The sequence below is a fragment of the Homo sapiens genome, chromosome 12, assembly GCF_000001405.40.
Source record: "Homo sapiens chromosome 12, GRCh38.p14 Primary Assembly".
Taxonomy (NCBI): domain Eukaryota; kingdom Metazoa; phylum Chordata; class Mammalia; order Primates; family Hominidae; genus Homo; species Homo sapiens.
The window spans coordinates 71,706,883-71,732,099 of record NC_000012.12 but is presented as its reverse complement, the minus strand read 5'-3'; the positions used below and the strand labels follow the sequence as shown (position 1 = coordinate 71,732,099).

Here is a 25,217-nt window from a genome sequence, read left to right as displayed (position 1 = left end):
GATGGCTTTCTGTATCCTGGGTTCTTGCCTTGTTGCAGTGGAATAATAGGATCACACGTGAGCTTGGAGAATGAGTGCAAAGTTTTATTGAGTGGAAGTAGCTCTCCACCGATGGGGGAGCAAGAAGGGGGATGGTTTTCCCCTGGAGTTGGGCCTCTGAGCGGTCTGGCTCTTTTCCGACTTCCTGGGCCAAACTCCACTTCGTCTGGTTGGTCGATGGCCTGCTGGCATGCCAGCCCTTATCCAGCCGCTTGTGTCTTCTTCCACAGATCTGCTCCTCTCCACGTCCAGCAGCTTGTGGGTGTGCCTGCTAGGATCTCGGGTTTTTATAGCCACAGGACTGGGGGCATGGTGGGCCAAGATAGACTTGGGAAATGCAACATTTGGGCTCCAAGGCAGGAGTGCCTGTCCTTAGCTAGGTCCATGGGGGTGGAGCCCTAGTCAGGGACCTTGCCCTACACTACCCAGAACTTTCCTTCCTCCCTTCCTCCCTTCATCATTTAAAGGACCACGCTCTTCCCTTCCCAGAAATTCCGTAACAATGTTATCATACTTCAGTTGTCCCACACATCCTTCTGAGTCACGCTTTTCCTATGGTATGTAAGTCCTGGGTGGTGGGAGTAATGATGCCAGACACTATCTTTTCTCCCTACCGCCCAAGACATGGACATGGCTTCTGTTCATAAGTCTCTATGAAATGTTCCTTTCTGAAAAACTGGATACATCAGCCTCTTTCTTGGCCTCTTAGCTTCTTCTTGTTAGATATAAGTTCTAAATTTATTTTCGAAGAATCAATATGTCAGTATGTTCAATTATTTGCCTTCTGCTTTTAAACTTAACTTCCTGGTAAAGCAACCTTTTTCGATTACATGCTCCACCCTGACTCATTCCGATTACCTGCTCCACCCTGACTCATCCTGTCATAACCATTTTTCCCACCAAACCACTCACCCCCTCACTCTCTTTAAATTAGCCAATCGGAATTAGTTTAGCCTGTGCAGTCTAACCCTAGCCAATAGGGGAACAATATAGCAGCAGGGGCCACGTGCGTCAGGGATAAGAAACCCTTCCCCTCCCTTGTCCAAGTGTGTGCTCACCATTCCTCCATCTGTAAGGGCGCACCCTGCTATAGAAGTACCTTGCCTTGCTGTGAAGTAAAAAGAAAATTTTACATTCGAGTGAGATTTCTTTTGCGGCACTGAAACTTTATTTATAACATTCTGACTTTGGGGATAGGTTTGCATAGACCTGTTCACCTTGGAACAACCTTTTCACTGAAAACTACTAGGTATTTCTGAGAGACAACAAAAACTTAAATAGTGAGACATACAATGTTTATGGATTAAAAGACGAAATATTGTTAAGATGTCAATTATTTGAAAATTGCTACATAGATAAAACACAATCTCAGTCAAAATTCCAGTAGATTTTGCCAACTGTATGTAGCATATTGTAGAAATTGACTGGCTGATTTGGAATTTTGACCATTGAGGGGATTTTTTGTTTTTTATTTTTATTTTTGTCATCTATCATCTATCAATCTATAATCTATCTATCTATCTATCTATCTATCTAGCTATCTCTTTATTTGAGACAGAGTGTCACTCTGTCATCCAGGCTGGAGTGCATTGATGTGATCACAGCTCACCAGTCTCAACCTCCTGAGCAAAAGCAATCTTCCCATGTCAGCCTCCCTAGTAGGTGGGACTACAGGCTGTGCCAGCATGCCTGGCTAATTTCTTATATATATTTTTTAGAGACTGTGTCTGTTGCCCAGGCTGGCCTCCCAAGGTGCTAGAATTACATGTGTGAGCCACCACCCCTGGCCTATTTTTGTTTCTTTAAATTCAAATATGTTTACCATTTCTTGTATGGTTTCAGAGTTTTCATTTGTAGTTAAGAAAGTCTCTCCCCTCCTAAATCGTAAATACGGTATTTGATTTTCTTGAAATATCTAGAAAAAAATGTTCTATCATATTCTATCTACAAATTATATTTGAATATGGTAAATAACTGGTTTAAATTTATTTTATTCCAGATGGGCAACCAGTTGTGCCATGCCATTTAAAAAATAATCCACCCTCTCTCCAGGTAAACTATCATCTTTTTTATATATTTTTATTATTTATTATTTTTTTGAGACAGAGTTTTGCTCTGTCACCGACACTGGAGTTCAGTGGTGCCATCTCAGCTCACTGCAACCTCCGCCTCCCAGGTTCAAGTGATTTCTTCTGCCTCAGCCTCCTGAGTAGCTGGGATTACAGGCACATAAAACCACACCTGGCTAATTTTTGTATTTTTAGTAGAGACAGCGTTTTGCCATGTTGGCCAGGCTCGTCTTGAACTCCTGACCTCAAGTGATCTGCCCACCTCAGGCTCCCAAAGTGCTGGGATTACAGGCGTGAGCCACTGTGCCCAGCCTTTTTTATGTATTAAATTCATATAGAGAGAGGGGGACATTCTTTGTATAGGTTATTGACTTTTTTTGTGTTTTCCTACTGTAATATCATATTGATTTGATATAGTATTTGTATCAAATGTTTAAAATATAATAAGGCAAATACCACTTAATTGTTTTTTTTTTTTTTTTTTTTTTTTTTTTTTTTTTTTTTTGAGATGGAGTCTCGCTCTGTCGCCCAGGCTGGAGTGCAGTGGCACGATCTTGGCTCACTGCAACTTCCACCTCCCAGGTTCAAGCAATTTTCCTGCCTCAGCCTCCTGAGTAGCTGGGACTGCAGGCACCCGCCACCATGCCTGGCTAATTTTTTTGTATTTTTAGTAGAGACGGGGTTTCACCGTGTTAGCCAGGATGGTCTCAGTCTCCTGACCTCATGATCCGCCCACCTCGGCCTCCCAAAGTGCTGGGATTACAGGCATGAGCCACTGTGCCCGGCCCTCATTGTTCTTATTTCTTATATTTTTTGGCTATTCTGTAGCATTTCACCTTTCATATAAATGTTACAGTTATTGTTATCCTTTTCTAGAACAAACATAACTGGATGACAACTATTAATATATTACTTTTGAAAAGACTGCCATTTTTATTCTGTTATGTTTTCTCATCCAAACATATAATTTATCTTCCCCTTTCTCAGGTCTAATGTTCTTAAATTGTGGCTGTCAATAAAATTTTCTTTTTCTTTTCATAGTTTTTTTTTTTTTTTTTCAATTTATTCTGAAGCACTTTATATGGTTTTTCCATTATTATGAATGGAATATTTTTTCTCATTTTTTATTTCTAGGTGCTTATTGCCAGAAAATTGAAAAACCTATTGAATTTAGTATATTGCTTTGATATATAGCCACCTTACCAATTTATCTTGTTAACTCTACAAGTATTTTACTGGCTTTCTTAGGTTTTCTAGGTATATAACGTCATCAGCAAAAAGAGATCATTTAAACTGTTCTTTTAAAATTTTTATGCCAGTTCTTCCATTTTCTCATCTTATTGTATTCATGAAAACTTCTAAGACGGTGTTAAATAAAGATGGTGAAAACATGATTCTATGCCTAGTTTCTGATTTGAACGTAAATTGTTTACTTGGCCTGCCATTTAAAAAACTATTTGCCACTGTAGTTTGCTAAATGGTCTTTGTTATATTTAGGTAGTTTCCTCCTATTTTTATTCACTTAGAATTTTTGTTAGAATGGTGATCTAGTTTGAATATATGTCCCCACCAAATCTCACGCTGAATTATAATCCCCCATGTTGGAGGTGGGGCCTGGGGGGAAATGTTTGGGTCATTGGGGGCGGTTATAATCCCCCATGTTGGGGGTGGGGCCTGGGGGGAAATGTTTGGGTCATGGGGGCAGATCCCTCATGGCTTGGTGCTATCCTCGGGGATCGTGAGTTCTTGGGAGATCTGGTTGTTTGAGTGTGTAACACCTCCCCACCCACTCCCTCTCTTGCTCCTGTTTTCACTATGTGACATGCAAGCTCCTGCTTTGCCTTCCGCCATGAGTCAAAGCTTCCTGAAGCCTCCCCAGAAGCAGATGCCTGCACTATGTGTCCTGTACAGTCTGCAGCACTGTGAGCCAATTAAACCTGTTTTCTTATAAATTTACCAGTCTCAGATATTTCTTTATAGCAATGCAAGAATGGCTTAATACGGATGGCTAGTAATTTAGTCAAATAAATATTTTGGCATTTGTTGATCTCACTGTATATTTTTCTCTCTTTAAATTGTTATAGTAACGGATTATGTTGGTAGATTTCCTGATGTTCAAACATTATTGCATTCCTGAAACAAATCTTGCTTGAATTTTTTTTTAATACCAGACTACAGTTTTTACTTTTATTTAGAAAATGGATTTTCAATTTATTCTGACATCCTAAAATAAATTGGGAAGTGTTACAATCTAAGTAATACCTTAAAAAAAAGCAATTATCTGTTCTTTAAAAGTTGTCAAAGGCTCTGGTACCAGAGCCTTTTTCAAGTGGTAGATTTTATTTTATCATCTTCATACTGGGCATGGTGGCTCATGCCTATAATCCCAGTACTTTGGGAGGCCAAGGTGGGAGGATTGCTTGAGCCCAGGAGTTCAAGACCATTATGTGCAATATAGGGAGACCATGTCTCTACAAAAAAATTAAAAGTTAGCTAGGGGTGGTGGTGTGCACCTGTAGTCCCAGCTACTCAGGAGGCTGAGGTGGGAGGATTGCTTGAGCCCAGGAGTTCAAGACCATTATGTGCAATATAGGGAGACCATGTCTCTGCAAAAAAATTAAAAGTTAGCTAGGGGTGGTGGTGTGCACCTGTAGTCCCAGCTACTCAGGAGGCTGAGGTGGGAGGATGGCTTGAGCCTGGGAGGTCAAGGTTGCAGTAAGCTGTGACCATGTCACTGCACTCCAGCCTGGGTGACAGTGAGACTCTGTCTCCAAAATAATAATTTAGCCAGGCATGGTGACAGGTACCTGTAGTCCCAGCTACCCAGCAGGCTGAGGTGGCAGGATCACCTGAGCCCTGGCTTATAGATGGCCACCTTTTCACTGTGTCCTCACATAGTAGAGAGAGACAGCTCTGGTGTCTCTTCTTTTAATAAGTCACCAGTCCTATTGGATTAGGTCTCTGCCCTTATTACCTTATTTAACCTTAATTACCTCCTTTTAGGCCCTGTCTCCAAATATAGTCACATTAGGGGTTAGGGCTTCAACATATGGATTTTGGGGAAACAAATCAGCTCATAGCACTCCACCCCTAACCCCCAACATTCATTCCCTTATTACATGCAGAATATGTTCAGTCCATTCCAACAGCTGCAAAGGTATTAACTCACTCCAGCATGATTTCTAAAGTCTAAAGTTCAGTCTCATCTAAACATCATCTAAATCTGATTGCGCTATCATAACAAAATACTGCAGACTGGGTGGCTTGAACAACAGAAAGGTATTTCTCAGAGTTCTGGAGACTGGAATGTCCTAGATCAAAGTGCCAGTTGGTTCAATTCCTGGTGAGGACTCTCGTGTAGATGACTGTCTTCTCACTGTGTCCTCACATGGCAGAAAGCAAGAGAGAGCTCTGATGACTCTTCCTTTTCTTTTTTCCTTTGTTCTTTTTTTTTTTGAGATGGAGTCTCACTCTGTTGCCAGGCTGGAGTGCAGTGGTGTGATCTCGGCTCACTGCAACCTCTGCCTCTCAGGTTCAAGTGATTCTTCTGCCTCAGCCTCCCAGTTAGCTGGGATTACAGGGGTACATCACCACACCCAGCTAATTTTAGTAGTTTTAGTAGAGATAGGGTTTCACCATATTAGGCAGGATGGTCTCGATCTCTTGACCTTGTGATCTGCCTGCCTCAGCCTCCCAAAGTGCTGGGATTACAGGCGTGAGCCACCAAGTCAAGCCCCCTTTTCTTATAAGGCATCAACCCTATCATATTAGGGTCCCACTCTTAATTCCCTCCTTATAGGCCCTTTTTCCAAATATTGGGGATTAGGGCTTCAATATATGAATTTTTAGGGGACACAATTTAGTCCATAGCACTATCTCTTTTGTAAAGATTGTAATTTTTTACAGAGTACCAATTTTTGGTAACATATTTAACTAAAAAATTATTCATTTGCTTAAGGCTTTCAAATTTGTTGCTGTAAAATTGGCGGTAGTAAGACTTCAAAAGATTCATTAAAAAATGCATATTACAAAAAAAAAACTGTGCACAAATTCCAAAATTTGTTTCCACCGAAGCAAACTTGTACTAACTTGTTATAACATGTGAAAGATACAACATCAGGTTGAAAAGAGCCCCAATCAAAGCAACATGAATTCTCCTAAAATTTAAGCAAGAACAAACATCAAATTTATGGGGAAGCTTGAGTGGAAGAATGGTGAAATCATTGATGCTTTCCAAAAAGTATATGAGGACAATGCCCCAAAGAAATCAGCAGTTTACAAATGGATAGCTTCTTTTAAGATGGGAAGAAATGATATTGAAGATGAAGTCTACGGTGGAAGATCATCCAATTTTTGAGGAAAATACTAATCATGTTTGTGCCTTAACTGAACAGGACTGATGAATAACAGCACAAACAACAGCCAATACCATAGACATCTCAATTGGTTCAGTTTACGCAATTCTGACTGAAAAGTTGAGCGAACTTTCCATTTCATGGGTGCCAAAACTGTCGCACCAGATCAGTTGCAAACAAGAGCAGAGGTGCAAACAAGAGCAGAGCTTTCAATGAAAATTTTAAACAAGTGGGATCAAGATTCTGACGTACTTCTTCAAGGAATTGTAACTAGAGATGAAACATGGCTCTGCCAGTACACTCCTGAAGACAAAACACAATCAAAGCAATGGCTACCAAGCGGTGGAAGTGGTCCAGTCAAAGCAAAAGTGGAGTAATCAAGAGCAGAGGTCATGGCATCAGTTTTTTGAAATACTCAAGGAATTTTGCTTGTTGGCTTTCTGGAGTGCCAAAGAACAATAACATCTGCTTATAATGATAGTGTTTTGAGAAAGTTAGTTAAAGTTTTGGCAGAAAAAAACATCTGGAAAAGGTTTACCGAAGTCTTTCTCCACCACAATAATGCTCCTGCTCATTCCTTTCATCAAATAAGGGCAATTTTGTGAAAGTTTTGATGGGAAATCATTAGGCATCCACCTTACAGTCCTGATGTGGCTCCTTCTTACTTATTTTTGTATCCTTATCTTAAAAAGTCTGTAAAGGGCACCCATTTTCCTTAAGTAAATAATGTAAAAAAGCCTGCATCAACATGGTTAAATTCCCAGGACCCTCAGTTCTTTAGGGATGGACTAAATGGCTGGTATTATTGCTTACAAAACTGTCTTGGACTTGATGGAACTCATGTTGAGAAATAAAGTTTGTAATTTTTATTTTTATCTTTTTTCTTTTTGTAGAGACAAGGTTTCTCTTTGTTGCCCAAGCTGATCTTAAACTCCTGGCCTCAAGTGAGCCTCCTGCTTATTTTTATCTTTTAATCCATTTTTTTCCATAAACTTTTTGAAGTCTCCTTGTAGCCTCATAATTATTTTCCTCTTTGCTGAATATGTAGTATGTCTTCTTTTTCATGCCTAATTGTGTCTATTTTTGCTGTATCCATTTTACTTTATTAGACACATGAGTTTACTTATTTTGTTTTCAAAGAACCAGCTTATTTAATTATGCATACTTTCTATTCTTTTTGTTTGTTCTCTGTTTCACTGATTTTGGCTACTAGATTATTTTTTAAAATCCTCGTGTCTCAGTATACTTTGTTAATTTTTAATTTTTAAGATAAAAAATTAGTTCCTTTTTGTTTTTCTTATTTAATAATAAATTTATTTAATGGCGAACATTTCACTCTGGATTCAGCTTTCAAATGTCCTGTAAGTTTTGGTATGCAGTCTTCTTTTCACTGCATCCAAAGTAGCTTATAACTTCCTTTGGTTTTCCCCTAATTTTTATTATGTTATTATCTGAGAAGGTAGTTACTAGTATCTCTACTTTTTAAAATTTGTTATTTTTTAAAAAAATGTTCTTCGTGAGAAAATACATGGTATATGTAAATGTTCTAAGGACATACAAAAAAAAGAGAGAATATTGTCTGTTAGAGTAATAAAAGATTCTAAATGTAGCTATTAAAGCAAGGTAATTTATTGTGTAGTTGCCCTAGAATTGATCAATTCTAACAGAAATATATTTATGTCTTCCACTAAATACTTCTCTATATTACGCATTTCTAATGTTTTTGCTTTACATAATTTACCAGCATGATGTTTGGTGTATAGAATTTAAAAATTCTACCTTTTTCAGGCCAGGTATGGTGGCTTATGTCTATAATGCCAACACTTCAGGAGGCCAAGGCAGGAGGATTGATTGAGGCCAGGAGTTCAAGAACAACCTGGTCAACATAGCAAGCTCCTGTCTCTACAAAAAAAGAAAAAAAAAAATTAAAAATTAGTTGGGCATGGTGTCACATGCCTGTAGTCTTAGCTACTTGGGAGGCTGGGGCAGGAGGATCACGAGTTTAAGAGTTCAAGGTTGCAATGAGCTATGATGATGCCAGTGCACACCAGCATGGGTGGCAGAGTGAAACCCAGTCTCTAAAAAAATAAATAAAATAAGTACAATAAAATTATACCTTTTTCATAAATTGTACCTTTTATTTTTTATTTTTTTTATTTATTTTTGAGACAGAGTCTCCCTCTGTCACCCAGGCTGGAGTGCAGTGGTGCAATCTCGGCTCACTGTAACCTCTACCTCCTGGGTTCAAGCAATTCTCCTGCCTCAAGATCCTGAGTAGCTGGGATTAAAAGCACATGCCACAGTGCCTGGCTAATTTTTGGATTTTTAGTAGAGACAGGATTTCACCATGTTGGCCAGGCTGGTCTCAAACTCCCAACCTCAAGTGATCTGCCTGCGTTGGCCTCCCAAAGTGCTGGGATTACAGGCATGAGCCACTGCGCCTGGCCATATTGTGCCTTTTAAAAAGTACATAATGTCAATCTTTATCCTGTTTAGTGCTTTTGATCTTAAATTCCACTTACTCTTATATTATTGGTGTCATTTCTGCTTTCTTGTTTGCATTTGCTTGAGATATTTTGCCTATTATCTTGTTAACTTTATCATTTTAATCTTTTGAACAGCTTTTATATTTACTTTTTTTTTTTTTTTTTGAGACAGAATCGCGCCTTGTCGCCCAGACCGGAGTGCAATGGCACCATCTCGGCTCACTGTAACCTCCACCTCCTGTATTCAAGCGATTCTCCTGCCTCCCAAGTAGCTGGGATTATAGGTGCCCGTCACCAGGCCTGGCTATTTTTTTTTTGTATTTTTTAGTAGAGACAGGGTTTCAGCATGTTGGCCAGGCTGGTCTTGAACTCCTGACCTCAGGTGATCTGCCTGCCTTGGCCTCCCAAAGTGCTGGGATTACAGGTGTGAGCCACTGCATCCGGCCTCAGGTAGTTCTTTATAGCAGTGTGAGAACAGACTAATACATCCAGTATATTCTTATTCATTTACATATAACTATGCACATAGATGGCAGGGTGTATTTTTGCTCATTCTGTTTTTTCTCTCTTCTCACTATTTTGAAGTGCTTGTACATCTCAAAATAAATTGTTGTCTTTTCTTTAATATCTTTCTCAGATGAGTCATGTGAGTGACCCTCTGAATTATTGCACATTCTCAAAGACCTTTTTTTCCTTTGACAGATTAATTATATCTGTCAACCTAAAAAACATGAGATCTATAAATCCAGAAAGGAGAACTTTATTTCTTGAGTAAGGCTGCAACCTGTAGGCTGGGAAGCAGAGCCTCCAGCTAAGACCAAAAGCAGACACTTTGAGGGAGGTAGGGTGGGACAGGAGTTCTATGCTAAATGGGTTGGCTAAACACATATTTAACAGGCTAAAGGAGAAACTATAAATATCCATGAAGGGGGGTTGTGGTCATGCATGGTAAGCAAACATACATGTTACATATGTTTCATGTTCACTTTGGGGTGGAGACTTAATGTTAAAATGCACTAAAATTAGGCTCTATACATCAAAATGTGAAACTTAGGACACAGAGGTGCTGTGTGGATAGCCGCTGTAAACCGGCCAGAAACAGCCCATGGTCAGTGGTTATTTATCAGGAAGGAACACTTTGTGAAACTGGTAAGCTGCCATGTCTCAACTGCAAAAGGGAGGGGAGTCTGGCCATAGTGTCAGGTGGTGGTTGCAGCTGAAGTCAGTGGAAGGGTTTTCCATTCTTTGTTTGCCAAGGCTGCTTTCTGTTTAACTCTTAAGAAAAGATCCAGGGCTGGGCGTGGTGGCTTACGCCTGTAATCCCAGCACTTTGGGAGGCCAAGATGGGTGGATCATGAGGTCAAGAGATCAAGACCATCCTGGCCAACATGGTGAAACCCCATCTTTACTAAATTAAAAAAAAAAAAAAATTAGCTGGGCATGGTGGCGCACGCCTGTAGTCCCAGCTACCCAGCTACTTGGGAGGCTGAGGCAGGAGAATCACTTGAACCCGGGAGGCGGAGGTTGCAGTGAGCTGAGATCATGCCACTGTACTCCAGCACAGCAACAAAGCGAGACTCCATCTCAAAAAAAAAAAAAAAAAAAAAAAAAGAAAGAAAAAGAAAGAAAGAAAGAAAAGATCTGGTAACAGTTAATGAACAAAGGGGTATACTGAGGTGTGACTGACTTCCTGTCTTGTCATGGCCTAGAAATTTAACTTCTAGTTTTTCTGGGTTCTCCTTGGCCAAGAGGGGTCCATTCAGTCAGTCAGGGGGCTTAGGATATACTTCACATAGCATAGCTAGGTAGAGAATCTTGCCTTTTCTCTAAAGATGATATTCCACTGCTTTCAAGTTTCCAACAAAGTACAATGCAAGTCTGATTCTTTTTCTTTTTTGACAACTTTTTCTTTCTAAATGGTAGCAAATAATATTTGCTTTTCAAAGTTCAGGAATTTTACCTGATTTTATATATATCATTTTTCATCAATTTAGTCTATCTTGGATTTCTGGGAGCTCTTTTAATTTATAAAATTAGGTATTTAGCCCTCCTGCAATGTTTCTTTTGTGTATCTAGAATGCCTATATTTTATGTATTAGACCTCTTGACTTTTTCCTCCAGTTGCTTATCTTTTCCCTCCTAATTTCCCTATCACTTTTTTTTGTTGTATGCCTTGGGAGAGTTCTTCTACTTTACCTTCTAGGCCACTACAGTGACCTACTTCTTTTTCAATTTACCTACCAATATATTTAATTGAGGATTAATATTTTTTATATTTCTAGTAATTTTTCTTTATAGCACTTGAATTTCATTATGTGGTTTAAAAATATATAAATATAAAATTTCTTCCCTTTTGGTGGAGATTATTATTTTATGACTTTTTCCCGTTGGGCTTGGGTCTGGTTTTTGGAGGACGTGAATTACAAGAAGCAGTTCTCTTTCTTTGTGCTGGCAATGTAGAAAGCAGGCAGGTTGTCATCTTCATTTTGACTCCATAAATAGAGGTTTGGGAACAGTAGATGCAAAAGAGGACTTAGGAGCCATACTTCCTGAGTTCAAATGCCAGCTCTTCTGTTTATTACCGATGAAGCCTTGGGCAAATTATTCAAATTCTATATCTCAGTTTCCTTATCTATCCAATGGGGGAAAATAAGATTAAAAAAATTTAATTGTATGTAAGAAAATTCTTGAGGGGTTGTCACGACAATTTAAAAAGTCTACCTTTTTGAAGCACTAAGTATAGTTCCTGGCCAACATATTGACTATTGTTAAAACTTGTTTCAGAAAATGAATGCATACATGGTAGAATACAAATTATTAAAACTGTGAGCATTCTAGCTTCCCTGCTAATGGTTCTCAACCTTGGCTCCACATATGAATCACTGAGAAGCATTTAGAAATCCTCCTACCTTATCTCAGACAAGTTAGATCAAGTCTCTAAAATTAGGGTTTCAAGGAAGTAGGAGCTTTCAAAACTCCCCAGGTGATTCCACTTTGAGGCCAACATTGAGAACAACTGCTTTAATACCTGTGCCAAAAAAAAAAAAAAAAAATCAGTGTTTGCCTGTTGATCTACTCGCGTATTAGTCATTGCTGAATTTCCCCAGACAGATTTTTTGGCTTTGCAGAATGAAGATCTTAAAGAGAATGAGGACTTCAGAATGTGGCTACATCTCAGATTCAAGGAGATTTGTAAAAGCTGTCAGTGATTTCCCATTGCCGTAAGATAGAGTCCTAAATTCTGACAAGGCAAAGCTCATCGGTCTAGTCTCTTTCTGCCTGATGCTCCCACCTCCTTGTCTCACTCTCACTATGGCTCACTAGGGTCCAGATAAAAGAGCCACTTTTCCCTTACTTTAACATGCCAAGCTCTTTCCTGCCTCAGGGCTTTTCTGCTGGTTGTGTCCTGTTCCACCCTTGACCTGGCCATTGACCATTATTGCATAGACACAATCTACTAAAACTCACACAAGGAAAAAGAGATAATCGGAACAGGGCTTTCTATTTTAAAAATTGAATCAACAATTAATAACCTTCCAAACAGAAATTACCAGGCTTAGATGGTTTCATTGGTGAAGTCTACCAAAGATTTAAGGAACAAGATACCAGTTCTTTACAAACTGTTACAGAAAACAGAAACAGAGGGAACACTTTCTAACTCACTACTTTATAAGGTCAGCATTTCCCTAATGCCTAATTATAAGAAAGAAAAACTGCAGACCCATATCTCTCATGAACATAGTTTCTGTAGGTCATGAATTCAGGAGCAGCTTTGTTGGGTGTTTCTGGCTTGAAGTCCCTCATGAGGATGCAGTTAACATTTTGGCCAGGCTGGAAGCTTGACAATGACTGGAGATCTATTTTACACAGTGCTGGTTGTTGGCAAGAGACCTCAGTTTCTCCCCATATGGGCCTCTCTGCTGATTGCTTTAGTGCCCCCATGACACGGTGACTGGCCTTCCCCAATATGAGTGATCCCAGGGAAAGCAGGTGGAAGCGGCAATGTCTTTTATGGCCTAGCCTCAGAGGTCACACACCGTCATTTCATCTATGTCCTATTGGTAACACAGACCAATATTTAGTCCCCCATTCAATATGGGAGAGGACTAAAAAGGAGCCATCCTGGAGGTTGTGGATGACATCATACAATAGAATACATTTCAGCAATGGGAAGCCATGAATTACTTATACATGCCACCATGCACAGAAAGCTCTGATATTATAGTGATAAAAGCCAGACACAACAGAGTACATCCTACATAATTCCATTTGTATGTTGTTCTAGAACAGGCAAAACTATGGTCTTGCCTCTGAAAAGAGGAGGGATTGATAGGAAATGACACAAGGGAATTTCTGGGATGATGGAAATGTTCTATATCTTGACAGGGGAGTGCTTCACATAGGCATATCATTTGTCAAAGTTGCACAGTTAAAAATATGTGTGTATTTCAATGTGGAAACATTCACCTCAGAAAAATAGGACCATAAAAAAAATCTAGCTGGGACTGGGAATGAGTGGTGGTCTAGATAAACAAGAATGGCAGCATGCCCATAATGGTTGAAGTTGGTATATTATATTAATCTGTTTGTATATGTTTAAACATTCCAAATGAAAAGCAAAAAAAAACCCAAAACAAAACCCAAACTGTTTTGTGTAATAAGCTTCTTATTCCTTTGTGTAAGAGTGTATCTTCCCTTTTGTTTTACCATGCTAATTAAAAGAGCATTTATATCTTGTGAAGGCTGCATTATTAATTACACACCAACAGGGTCAAGTCACCTTAACAATCTTAATTATAATTGAGAAGCCAAAAGTGGCTTCTTAACCCACTTCTGATAGGTGGGTAGTGAAAAAATCCTCCGACAGCCCAACTCTCCAAAATGTCATATTACTTACGTAAAAACTGGTGAAATCCATTCAGCTCTTAGGGAAAAATGGGACAGCAATCATGGCACAAAGATGGCTCAGAGACCATGTGTCCTCTCAAGTCAGTTGACTTTTCCCCCTTTCTACCAGAGGGAAGCTGAGCAGGCAACACAGTGATCTAGACATTCAGAGAGGATCTCCTACTTTTTTGTAATACCTCCTGTTTCTTCCCTTAAGGGCTCTAGGGGCATTTGGAGGTCGGGGTGGAGGTGAAAATTAAATGAGAGGAAAGGAATTTGTAAACTGGCACACAGGTTAGTTTACCATTCCTGAATCACTCCAGGATCTAATTCTAAATGCAGAAGTACATATACATTCTCACAGACGCCAGTGAACTTTCTGCCAGTACAAAACCAAGAGCCCTCTAAAAAGAATGTGCAGAACAATGTGGTGATATTAGAAAGCACAGAGTATATCCTGGAACCGGTAATAGTCTAGATGGCCTGAATACATGAGGCACGTTAGGAGAATAAATATTGAAAAGGCTAAAGAAGCATAGTGAGCCTTGTGCCTATTAGTATGCCTTATCTTATTAGGAGAAAAATGACCCCAAAAGTTTAAGAATGAGGTTTGATTAATATAGCTTGGTGTAAAAAAATTATCCTTCTTACTTTTTGCGAAATGAATTACACAAACACTTTATGCATATCAGATTGGGACTCATCTTTTTTCACAGAATAGTAACAACAATAAATGTAAAAGGAACAGAAGTACCCTGCAGTTGTATGACACTTTAGTCATGTTGAATAGTATAGTAATGGTAAAACATATTGGCTACTTACTGTCTACTAGAAACTGTACTAGGTACCTCAGGTGACTTAACTGCCTTGATCCTCCCAACTACTTCATGAAGTACTATTAATAACCCCAATTTATGTGCCAGACGTGGTCTTACGCCTGTAATCCCAGCACTTTCAGAGGCCGAGGTGGGTGGATCACCTGAGGTCAGGAGTTCAAGACCAGCCTGACCAACATGGTGAAACCCTGTCTCTGCTAAAAATACAAAAATTAGCTGGGCATGGTGGTGGGCACCTATAATCCCAGCTACTCGGGAGGCTGAGCAGGAGAATTGCTTGAACTCGGGAGGCAGAGGTTGCAGTGAGCCAAGATTGCGCCATTGTACTCCAGCCTGGACAACAGAGTGAGACTCCATCTCATAAAACAACAACAACAAAAACAGGCCAGACGTGGTGGCTCATGCCTGTAATCCCAGCACTTTGGGAGGCCAAGGTGGGTGGATCATGACGTCAGGAGATCGAGAGCATCCTGGCCAACACGGTGAAACCCCATCTCTTCTAAAAATACAAAAATTAGCTGGGTGTGGTGGCGTGCACCTGTAATCCCAGCTACTCAGGAGGCTGAGGCAGGAGAATGGCTTGAATCCATGAGGCGGAGATTGCAGTGAGCCGAGATGGTGCCACTGCACTCCAGCCTGGCGACAGAGTGAGACTCCATCACCGACCCGCCCCCCATCCCACGAAAAAAAAACAAAACAATTTATGGATGAGGAACCTGAGACACAGAGAGGTTAAGCAAACAGGTTCACAAAGCTAGAGAGTGGCAGAGCTAGCATTTGAACCTAAGCAGTTGAGCTCCAGAGTCTGTGCTTCATTACTCTGCCACTCAAAGCTGACATGGTGTATTAGTTTTCTGTGGCTGCTGTAACAAATTACCACAAATTTAGTGGCTGAAAACAACAAAAATTTATTATCTTAGTGTTGTAAGTCAGAATTCCTAAAATCAAGCTGTTAGCAGCACTGTGATCCTTTCTGGAAGCTATAAGGAAGAACACATTTCTTGGCCTTTTCCAGCTTCTAGAGCCCACCCATGTTCCTTGGTTCATAATCTCCTGCCTCCGTCTTCAAAACCAGCATCTCTCTGACTCCTCTGTAGTTGCATCACTTTCTTTGACCATAGTTAGGAAGAGTTCTCTTTTGTATTTACCTATTTTATTTGAATTGTGGTAAAAAAACATAAAATTTACAATCTGAACCATTTTTAATTGCACAGTTCAATAGTGTTAAGTATATTCACATTCCTGTGAAACGGATCTCTAGAAATTTTTCACCCCTCAGTCTGAAACTTTGTACCCATTAAACATCTGTTTTCCCCCTTCCCCTTATCTCCTGGTAACCACCATTCTACTTTCCGTTTCTATGAATTTTAGATACCTCATATAAGCAGAATCATATAGCATTTATCTTTTTGTGACTGGCTTATTTCATTAAGCATAATGTACTCAATGAAGCTTCATCCATGTTGTAGAATGTGACACAATTTCCTTCCTTTTTAAGGCTGAATAATATTTCACTGTATGTATATAACACATTTTATTTATTCATTCATCCATGAGGGACATTTGGGTTGCTTCCATCTCTTGAGGGTAGTGAATAGCAATGCCATGAGCATGGGATTGAGACCCTGCTATCTCTTTGGGACCCTGCTTTCAATTCTTTTGGATATACATCCAGAAGTGGAATCACTAGATCATATGGTAGTTCTATTTTTAATTTTTTGGGGAACCTCTAAACTGTTTTCTATAGTGGTCACACTGTTTCACATCCCAACACAGTGCACAGGTTTCATTTCTCCACATACTTGACCACATTTGTTATTTTCCTTTTTTTTTTTTTTTTTGAGTTGTCATCCTAATGGGTGTGGGTGACATCTTTGTGTGGTTTTGATTTGCATTTCTCTAAAAATTAGTGATGTTGAGTGCATTTTCATATGCTTATATATTTGTATATCATCTTTGGAGAAACATCTATTCAAGTTCTGTGCCTATATTTTAATTGGATTTTTTAATTTTTCAGTTGTTGAGTTGTAGTTCTTTATATTCTAAATATTAGCTCCTTATCAGAGATATGATTTGTAATTATTTTCCCCATTCTATACGGTGTCTTTCACTCTGATTGTATTCTTTGATGCACGACAATTTTTAAATTTAAGGTAGTCTCATTTGTCTATTTTTGCTTTTCTTGCCTGTGCTTTTGTTGTCATATCCAAAACATCATTGCAAAGTCAAATGTCATGAAGCTTTCTCCTGTGTTTTCTTCTAGGAGTTTTAAAGTTTTAGATCTTATGTTAATGGGCTTTTTTCTTTTTTTTTCAGATGGGGTCTTGCTCTGTCACCCAGGCTGGAGTGCAGCCAGTGGCACGATCTTGGCTCGCTGCAACCTCTGTTCCTGGACTCAAGAGATCCTTCCATCTCAGTCTTCTGAAGAGCTGGGACCACAGGTGCACGCCATCATGTCCAGCTAATTTTTTGTACTTTTTGTAGAGACAGGGTTTTGTAATGTTTCCCAGGCTGGTCTCAACCTCTTGGACTCAAGCGATCCACCCTTCTTGGCCTCCCAAAGTGCTGGGATTACAGGAGTGAGCCACTGCACTCAGCCAAGATCTTATGTTAATGTCTTTAACCCACTTTGAGTTAATTTTTGTATACAGCGTAAGGTAAGGATCCAATTTCATTCTTTTACATGCAGATACCCAGTATTCCAATATCATTTGTTGAAGAAAGTATCCTTTGGCATTGTCTATTATTGGTACCTTTGTTGAACGTCATTTGCCCATATGTAAGATAATTTATTTCTGGGCTCTCTATTCTATTCCCTTGGTCTATTTGTCTGTCTTTATGACAGAACACATCCGTTTGATTACTGTCTCATTGTAATAATTTTTGAAATAAGAAAATGTGAGTCATCCAATTTTGTTACTCTTTTTCAAAATTGTTTTAGCCATTTAGGGTCCCTTGAGATTCCATATGAATTTTAGGATGAATTTTTCTATTTTGCAACAAATGTCATTGGAATTTTTTTCCTTTTTTTGAGACAGGGTCTTGATGTGTTGCCCCGGCTCGAGTGTAGTGGTGGAATCATGGCTCACTGCAGCCTCAACCTCCCAGGCTCAATAGATCCTCCCAGCTTAGTCTCCTGAGTAGCTGGGGCTACAGGAGTATGCCACCATACCCAGCTAATTTTTGTATTTTTTTGTAGAAATGAGTTTCACCATGTCGCCTATGTTGGTCTCAAACTCCTGGGCTCAAGAGATCCGCCCGCTTTGGCCTCCCAAAGAGCTGGGGTTACAGGTATGAGGCACTGTGTCTGGCCCCCACTGGAATTCTGATAGGGATTGTACTGAATCTGCAGATTGCTTTGGGTAGTATGAACATCTTAACAATATTGTCTTCCAATCCATGAACACAAGATGTCTTTTAATTTATTTGTGTCTTCTCTCAATTCTTTCAGCAATGTTCTATAATTTTCAGCATACAAGTGTTTTACCTCCTTGGTTAGGTTTATTCCTAAGTATTTTATTCTTTTTGATGCTATTGTAAATTGCGTTTTTCTTAATTTCCTTTTCAGATTGTTTATTGATAATGTACAGAAATGCAACTAATTTTTGTGTTGATTTTGTATCTTGCAACTTGGTGACTTCATTTATTAATTCTAATAGTTTTTTTTGTGAAATCTTTATGGTTTTCTACATATAAGATCATGTTAACTGCCAACAGAGGTAGTTTCACTTCTTTCCTTCCAATCTGGATACTTTTATTTCTTTTTCTTGTCTAATGGCTGTGGCTAGAAATTCTAATACTATGTTGAATAGAAGTGGCCAGAGTGGGCATCTTGGCCTTCTTCCTGATTTTAGAGGAAAAGCTTTCAGTCTTTCACCATTGAGTATGTTAGCTGTAGACTTTGCATAAATCGCCTTTAATAGTTGAAGTAGTTTACTTCTATCCCTGGTTTGTTGAGTGTTTTATTATGAAAGGGTGTTGAATCTTGTCAAATGTGTTTCCTACATCCATTGAAATGATTGTGTGGCTTTTGCTCTTCATTTTGTAAATGTGGTGTATTACACTGACTGAGTTTCACCAGCTGAACCATCCTTGCAGTCCAGAATAAATCTTATTTGGTCGTGCTGTATAATCTGTTTCATGTGCTATTGAATTCTGTTTGCTAGTATTTTGTGGAAGATTTTTGCACCACTATTTATCAGGGATATTGGTGTGTAGTTTTCTTTTCTTGTAGTGTCTTTCACTGTGGTATCAGGGTCATGATAGCCTCATAGATTAAGCTTAGAAGTGTTTCCTCCTCTTCAATTTTTTGGAAGACTTTGAGGAAAATAAATGTTAATTAGTCTTTACATGTTTGGTAGAATTCTCCAGTGAAGTCATCTGGTCCTGGACTTTTCTTTGTTGGGAGGTTTTTGATTATTGACTCAATCTTCTTATTTGTTATTGGTCTGCTCAGATTTTCTATTTCTTCATGATTCAATTTTGGTGGGTTGTATATTTCTAGGAATTCATCCATTCCTTCTAGATTATCCAATTTGTTGCTGTACAATTGTTCATAGTATTCACTTATACTATTCTCTTTTTATCTCTTCGGCATTAATTGTACCATCTCTTCTTTCATTTATATTTAGTTATTTCAGTCTTCTCTCTTTTTTTAAGTTAATCAGCTAAGGGTTGTCAATTTTATTGATCCTTTCAAAAAGCTACTCTTAGTTTTGTTGATTTTCTCCTACTGTTTTTCTGTTCTCTAATTTCTCTCTGCTCTAATCTTTATTATCTTCTGCTAGCTTTGGATTTAGTTTGTTCATCTTTTTCTAGTTTCCTAAGATGTAAAGTTAGGTTGTTGATTTGAGATCTTCTTTTTTAATGTACACATTTATAGCTATAAACTTCTCTTAGTGCTGCTTTTGTTGCATCTCATAAGTTTTGAAATATTGTTTCCATTCTAATTTGTCTCAAGGTATTTCCCAATTTTCTTTGTGACTTCTTCTTTGACCTATTGGTCAAAAGTAGTATGTTGTTTAATTTCTACATATTTGTAGATTTTTCCGTATTCTTTGTGCTATTGCTTTCCAGTTTAATCCATTGTGATGTCCATTTTCTTGAATTTGTTAAGACTTGTTTTGTGGTCTAACACATGGTTTATCTGGAGACCATTTTATGCGCCCTAGAAAAAAATGTATATTCTACTGTTGTTAGGGTGGGGTGCTTTGTATATATCTTTTAGGTCCAATTGATCTACCGTGTTGTTTAATTTCTTTATTTCCTTATTGATCTTCTGCTGGTTGTTCTCTCCATTTTTTTTTAAGTGGGGTATTGAAGTCTCCTACTATTATGTGGCTATCTAATTCTATCTCCAATTCTGTCAAAGTTTACTTCATATATTTAAGTGCTCTGAGGTTTGGTGCATAAATATTAATAATTGTTATATTTTCTTAGAGCATTGACTTCTCCATCACTATATAATGTCCTTCTTTTCCTATCCCTTTTGCTGGTACTCCCTTTTTGGTTTTGGTTTTGTTTTGTTTTGAGATGGAGTCTCGCTCTGTTGACTAGGCTGGGGTGCAGTGGCACGATCTTGGCTCACTGCAACCTCTGCCTCCTGGGTTCAAGCAATTCTCATGCCTCAGCCTCCAAAGTAGCTGGGACTACAGGTGTCTGCCACCATGCCTGGCTAATTTTTTAATATTTTTAGTAAAGATGGGGTTTTGCCATGTTGGCCAGGCTGGTCTCGAACTCCTGACTTCAGGTGATCGGCCTGCCTTGTCCTCCCAATGGCTGGGGTTATAGGCGTAAGCCACCGCACCCAGCCCCCTTCTTAGTTTTACAATAACTTTGGCGCACCCAGCCCCCTTCTTAGTTTTACAATAACTTTGGTGCTGTAGCTTCTCAACTGAACTTTAGCATCCCCACAGAGGTATTCTGGTCGGTATACTGCTATTAACTTGGTGACTCTGTGGGAGAAGGAGGGCCTGTAGCTTCTTAGTCCACTATCTTGCTGACTGGTCCTCCGCTTTGAAGGACTCATGATTAGGTTGGGTCCACTTGGATAATCCAGGTTAATCTCCCCATTTAAAAGTTCTTAACCTTAATCATGTCTGCAAGTCCTCTTTGCCATGGAAGGCAAATATTTACCATTTTTGAGGATTGGAACATGGACATTTTGAGGGGACCCTTACTGTCTACTATACATGGTTTCTCCAAAGGATTTTCACATATATTAACTCATTTAATATCAACAATGTGGTGGAATAGAAATTACAGTACTTTTCCTTACAGGAAGACTAATAGATTTGTTTTTTGCCCCAGGATTATACTAGTATTAGGGCCTTTACAAATGGATCTCATCATACCTCTCTAGCTTCATTTCACACAACTCCCTCCACCTAATTTCTAGTCGCAGTCACTCCTCACACGTCATGCCCCTTCACAATTCAGTCACCAAGCAGTCAGGTAGAGAGGTCTCACTGAACTTTGTCATATCCTCTATTATCATACATATACACTAGTGTATAGTGTTTTGCTACACATTAGCCACACATCATATGTGTACACTGCTAACAAATGGGGTTTTAGGATAGAAATGACTCTAATTGCCTAGTTTTGCTTGAGAAGTGGTATAACAGACAACGGGAAACTGAACTGAGGGTGAGACATACATCTCTCTATGTAGAACTTATAAAAAGAATGGTTTAGACACAAGTCTACAAGGTGTTGCACAACTTATAGACTCCTTAGCCAGGTAAGGATCATAAAATGGAATCTGAGAGGAAAAAGCTTTTGTAAGAGTAGGGAAGAGTTTCTTTAGAGGGAGTGGTAGTCAGGCTGTAAATCTCCAACCTGGGGAGGAGTGGGAGATTGCCGCCTTCCAACATCAGGCCTAGTGACGGGGCATTAAGTGTACCTTTGAAGAGTGTTTCCTTTAGTTGGAGACAGAGATGACTGGTGCCTGACTCATGCCTGAGAAAATTAAATGGACTGTTACCCTGGGGGCTGACTCATGGCCAGGGATTCCAGAAAACACAAAAATGCTTGCCTCTCTGATGGTGAACCAGAAAGGTGCTGCTACACTGAGATCGACTAGCACTCTCAGGGACTGTCAAAGCAAGGGATTTTTCCCATGGAGCATGTGGATGACCCGGTGAAACCCTATCATGAGGTTGTCTTAAATCTTGGCCAAGATCACTGCCGGAGAGGTGAGACTGCCTACCAGAAGAGGATAGATACCCAGGGGCTGAGAAAGCAAGAACGTGGTATAGTGTTAGAATAAGAACCCTCAATCCATCATACCTCTCTGCCACCTTTCCCCTCTGCACCTAACTTTGCTACTGCTTCCATCAAGAAGTGGAATATATTGTCTTATACCTTGAGTCTTCCTGGCCTTGTGACTTTTATGATCAATAACTGCAGCAAAAATGACATTGTGAAAACTGAGGAAGAGAACTGGTATGGGTATTTCGTTTGAGAATATGCCCTCGGCATGAGATCAATGGGTCAAAGTGTATGTGTTCAACTTTAGCAGATACTGCTAAACACTTTTACAAAGTGGTTGTACTAAACATATTCCCTGTAGCAGTACAAGAGTTCTATTTGAACTGCATCTCCTCAACAATTTAGTATTTTCTATTGTTTTTCACTTTAGCTATTCTGGTAGGTGGGGTATCCAGTGTGGTTTTAATTTGCATTTCCCTGATGACTAAAGATGTTAAGCACCTTTTCAGATGTTTATTGGCCATTTGGATATCCTCTTTTATGAAGTGACTGTTTAAGTGTTTTGCTCATTTTTCTATTGAGTTGATGGGTCTTTTCTTATTAATTTGCAGGTGTTTGCTTTATACTCTGCATATGAATCCCTTGTTGGACCTACATGCTGCAGATATCTTCTACTACTCTGGAAGTAACTTTTTCACTCTTAATAGAGTCTTGCTTTAGAAAAAACAAAAACTTCAGTCAGAGGGCAATTAGAGGGGCTGCTGAATGGGAATAGTTCAATTCTCTCAATTCTCCTGTCCCATTAGCACAATTACCCACTGGATTTTTTTTTTGTCTTTTGGAAAATCTCAGTGCTGGCTGAACGAGCTATAGTTTTGCTATTACAACACAAATAATAATTCCCCAACTGCTCAGTATTTTCTTCTATCTTTAGTTAATCTGAGTGTCTATCACCTATGCTTTCTTACTTAACCTTTTTGAGCTCAGTTTTGTTATTGGTACAAAAATGAATAATGTACTTACCTCATATGGTTGTTGTGAGAATCAAGTAAGTTAATGTATGAAAAGTGTTTAAAACAGTACCCGGCACAGCATAAACTACTACTATTATATTCCAAAATGCTTTTCCTTTGGAAGACTACATAGACTGTGCAGTTTTCTGTGTCCTCCTTCAAGATTCATTTCTTAGAAATTAAAAACAGGACACCATTTTTTAATCTAAATGGCAAAGATTAAGGAAGCAATAATATTCAGTGCTGCTGAAGCTGCAGTGAGACCAGTACGCTCATACACTGAGTTATTAGAAACTGCTGAAATCTTTCCAAAGAGCAATTAAGTAATGCTTAACAAAAGCCTTTGATGCAACAATTACACAAGGTAGTCCAAGACTTTTCCATAAACCAGTCATCACTATGCTATTTATTATAACACATATAGAATAAAAAACTAAATGCCCTCAAATAACAAATGAAAGTATGGTGATCTCTAAGCTGGATTGCCCAGCCATTAGAAATATGTTCAAATAATTTTTAATGGAAAGAGAAAATTCTTACACTCTGGAAAAGCTTCTCAGAGGAAGTGTTATTGAGCTGGTTTTTTAAGGATCAGTAAGGGAGTAGAAAAGAATTCCAGCCATAATGGATGGGTATATAAAGGAAAGGAAGCATTCAAGAGTTGGATAAGATTATACTCACCCATATGAGATAGTATATGTATTTTTTAGCTTCAAGTCTGGGCAATGAGGTAAAAAGGTTCCTCAAGGTTCTTTATTCTAGAATTCTATGACAATGTGTTGAGAATCTTGTCATGCAATAAGGTGTTTGCCACGTATTATTCCAAATGCAAATAGCTAAACAAGATCAGAAGAATTTGAAAAATTTGCCAAAACCCCAGTCTCATACCAGATTCGCTACATGGGCAAGAAGATATGTGATACTTACATTAATTCCTACAAGAATCTGAAAGTGAAGGTGATACAAACAGGAAGCAGGGAAATACTAGGTAGAAAAGGGTGTGGTCCCTGGTGAGGGCTCCACCCTCAAGCTTGGACCAGAGGCCTTAAATGAGAACTTCACATCCCTGTTTTCCCACCCAAATGTTGCCTTTTCCAAAACCACCCTGGCCTGTCCCACCCCCTACCCTGTACCCATAAAACCCCCAAGCTCCACTGGCAGGAGAGCAGAGCGGAGCGGCAGAGGAGGAGAGAAGAGAAGCAGCTGGAGAAAAGCAGCTTGACTTCAGAGGGATGGCTTGATGGCAGGACTTCAGAGAAGAGTTTGGCCAGGCATGGCCAAACTCCAGGGGAAGATTATCTGCTCACTCCATCCCTCTCCAGCTCCCCTTCCCACTGAGAGCCACTTCCATCTCTCAATAAAATTATCCGCATACACCACCCTTCAACTGGTTCTTGTGACCTGATTCTTCCTGGATGACAGACAAGAACTTGAGTACCAAGAGGGAAGAGTATAAAAGGCTGTGACCCTCACCCTCCACTGAGGTGGTGAACACTTAGCCATCTGCGAACAGCAAACGCTAAAAGAGCACTGATTGTAACACATGCCCTCTGGGGCTCTGGGGGTCACAGACACCCCCTCCCGGAAGGCAGAGCTAAAAGAGCATTGTAACATGCTTGGACTCTGCCGCGAGGCCTGCTCAAAGCTTGATCCTACCAGAGAGGAGTGACCAGATGGTTCCAGCATTTGTTCGCCCCGGCTCCTGCACCTGCTCACCTGTGTGCTTCCGCTTCTTGAGGGGTTCAGAGCTTTGGGCTGAGTAAATGAGCTACCCCTTCACAAGTCCTGTGAAGAGGTCAAGGGAAATATCCCGTCTTAAAGGTATCAAAAAATTCCCTTGAGTATCCACTGTTACTTTTATGTTATACTAAAATTCCATTTTACTCTTTCAGTTCATTGTTAATAAAGTAGTTTATAAAGAGAAGAAATAAGATTTGAAATAATGAGGAGGGGGTGGAAGGGAAAGAAGGGTGATTCCCAGAGATTATTTTGTTTACTTTGAGCATGTTTTTGATTCATAGAAAAAACAAATTTGATTACAGACTTTAGAAAAAACCTAAAATTAGTTTTGTATGTGTATTTTTAATAGCATTAAATACATCTGTAATTATCTCAGATAACAAGAATATTTTGGTGTACATCCTTCTAATCTTTCTTCCTAGATTTTTATTTTATTTTATTTCTGAGATGGAGTCTTACTCTGTTGCCCAGACTGGAGTACAGTGGTGCAATCTCAACTCACTGCAACCTTTGCCTCCTGGGTTCAAGTGATTCTCGTGCCTCAGCCAGCCAACTGAGTAGCTGGGACTACAGGCATGTA

The 25,217-nt window shown here is 39.3% G+C and overlaps 1 long non-coding RNA gene across 1 annotated transcript, besides 5 other annotated features; it reads right to left on the bottom strand.

Moving 5' to 3' along the window:
- Positions 1-1,050: 1,050 nt before the first annotated feature.
- Positions 1,051-23,635, bottom strand: LOC107984530 (uncharacterized). Its single transcript, XR_001749202.1, has 3 exons — positions 23,579-23,635; positions 11,859-11,977; positions 1,051-1,147 (listed from the first exon to the last, which is right to left on the bottom strand). It is a non-coding gene; the product is annotated as an uncharacterized LOC107984530 (long non-coding RNA).
- Positions 5,633-6,832: an enhancer, noted in NCBI's record as "MED14-independent group 3 enhancer chr12:72119048-72120247 (GRCh37/hg19 assembly coordinates)". NCBI's record gives its function as "activates an origin of replication core promoter dependent on BRD2, BRD4, P300/CBP and CDK7 cofactors, and independent of MED14, by STARR-seq in HCT116 cells {active_cell/tissue: HCT116}" and the evidence as "EXISTENCE:reporter gene assay evidence [ECO:0000049][PMID:35650434]".
- Positions 5,633-6,845: a biological region, named in NCBI's record as "MED14-independent group 3 enhancer GRCh37_chr12:72119048-72120247".
- Positions 6,645-6,845: a silencer, noted in NCBI's record as "peak1823 fragment used in MPRA reporter construct". NCBI's record gives its function as "represses an SCP1 promoter by STARR-seq MPRAs in K562 erythroleukemia cells {active_cell/tissue: K562}" and the evidence as "EXISTENCE:reporter gene assay evidence [ECO:0000049][PMID:32103011]".
- Positions 21,222-22,421: an enhancer, noted in NCBI's record as "P300/CBP strongly-dependent group 1 enhancer chr12:72103459-72104658 (GRCh37/hg19 assembly coordinates)". NCBI's record gives its function as "activates an origin of replication core promoter dependent on BRD2, BRD4, P300/CBP, MED14 and CDK7 cofactors, with strong dependence on P300/CBP, by STARR-seq in HCT116 cells {active_cell/tissue: HCT116}" and the evidence as "EXISTENCE:reporter gene assay evidence [ECO:0000049][PMID:35650434]".
- Positions 24,158-24,363: a silencer, noted in NCBI's record as "fragment chr12:72101517-72101722 (GRCh37/hg19 assembly coordinates)". NCBI's record gives its function as "represses an EF-1alpha promoter that drives an FKBP-Casp9 reporter gene in an ReSE screen in HepG2 liver carcinoma cells and K562 erythroleukemia cells {active_cell/tissue: HepG2 | K562}" and the evidence as "EXISTENCE:reporter gene assay evidence [ECO:0000049][PMID:32094911]".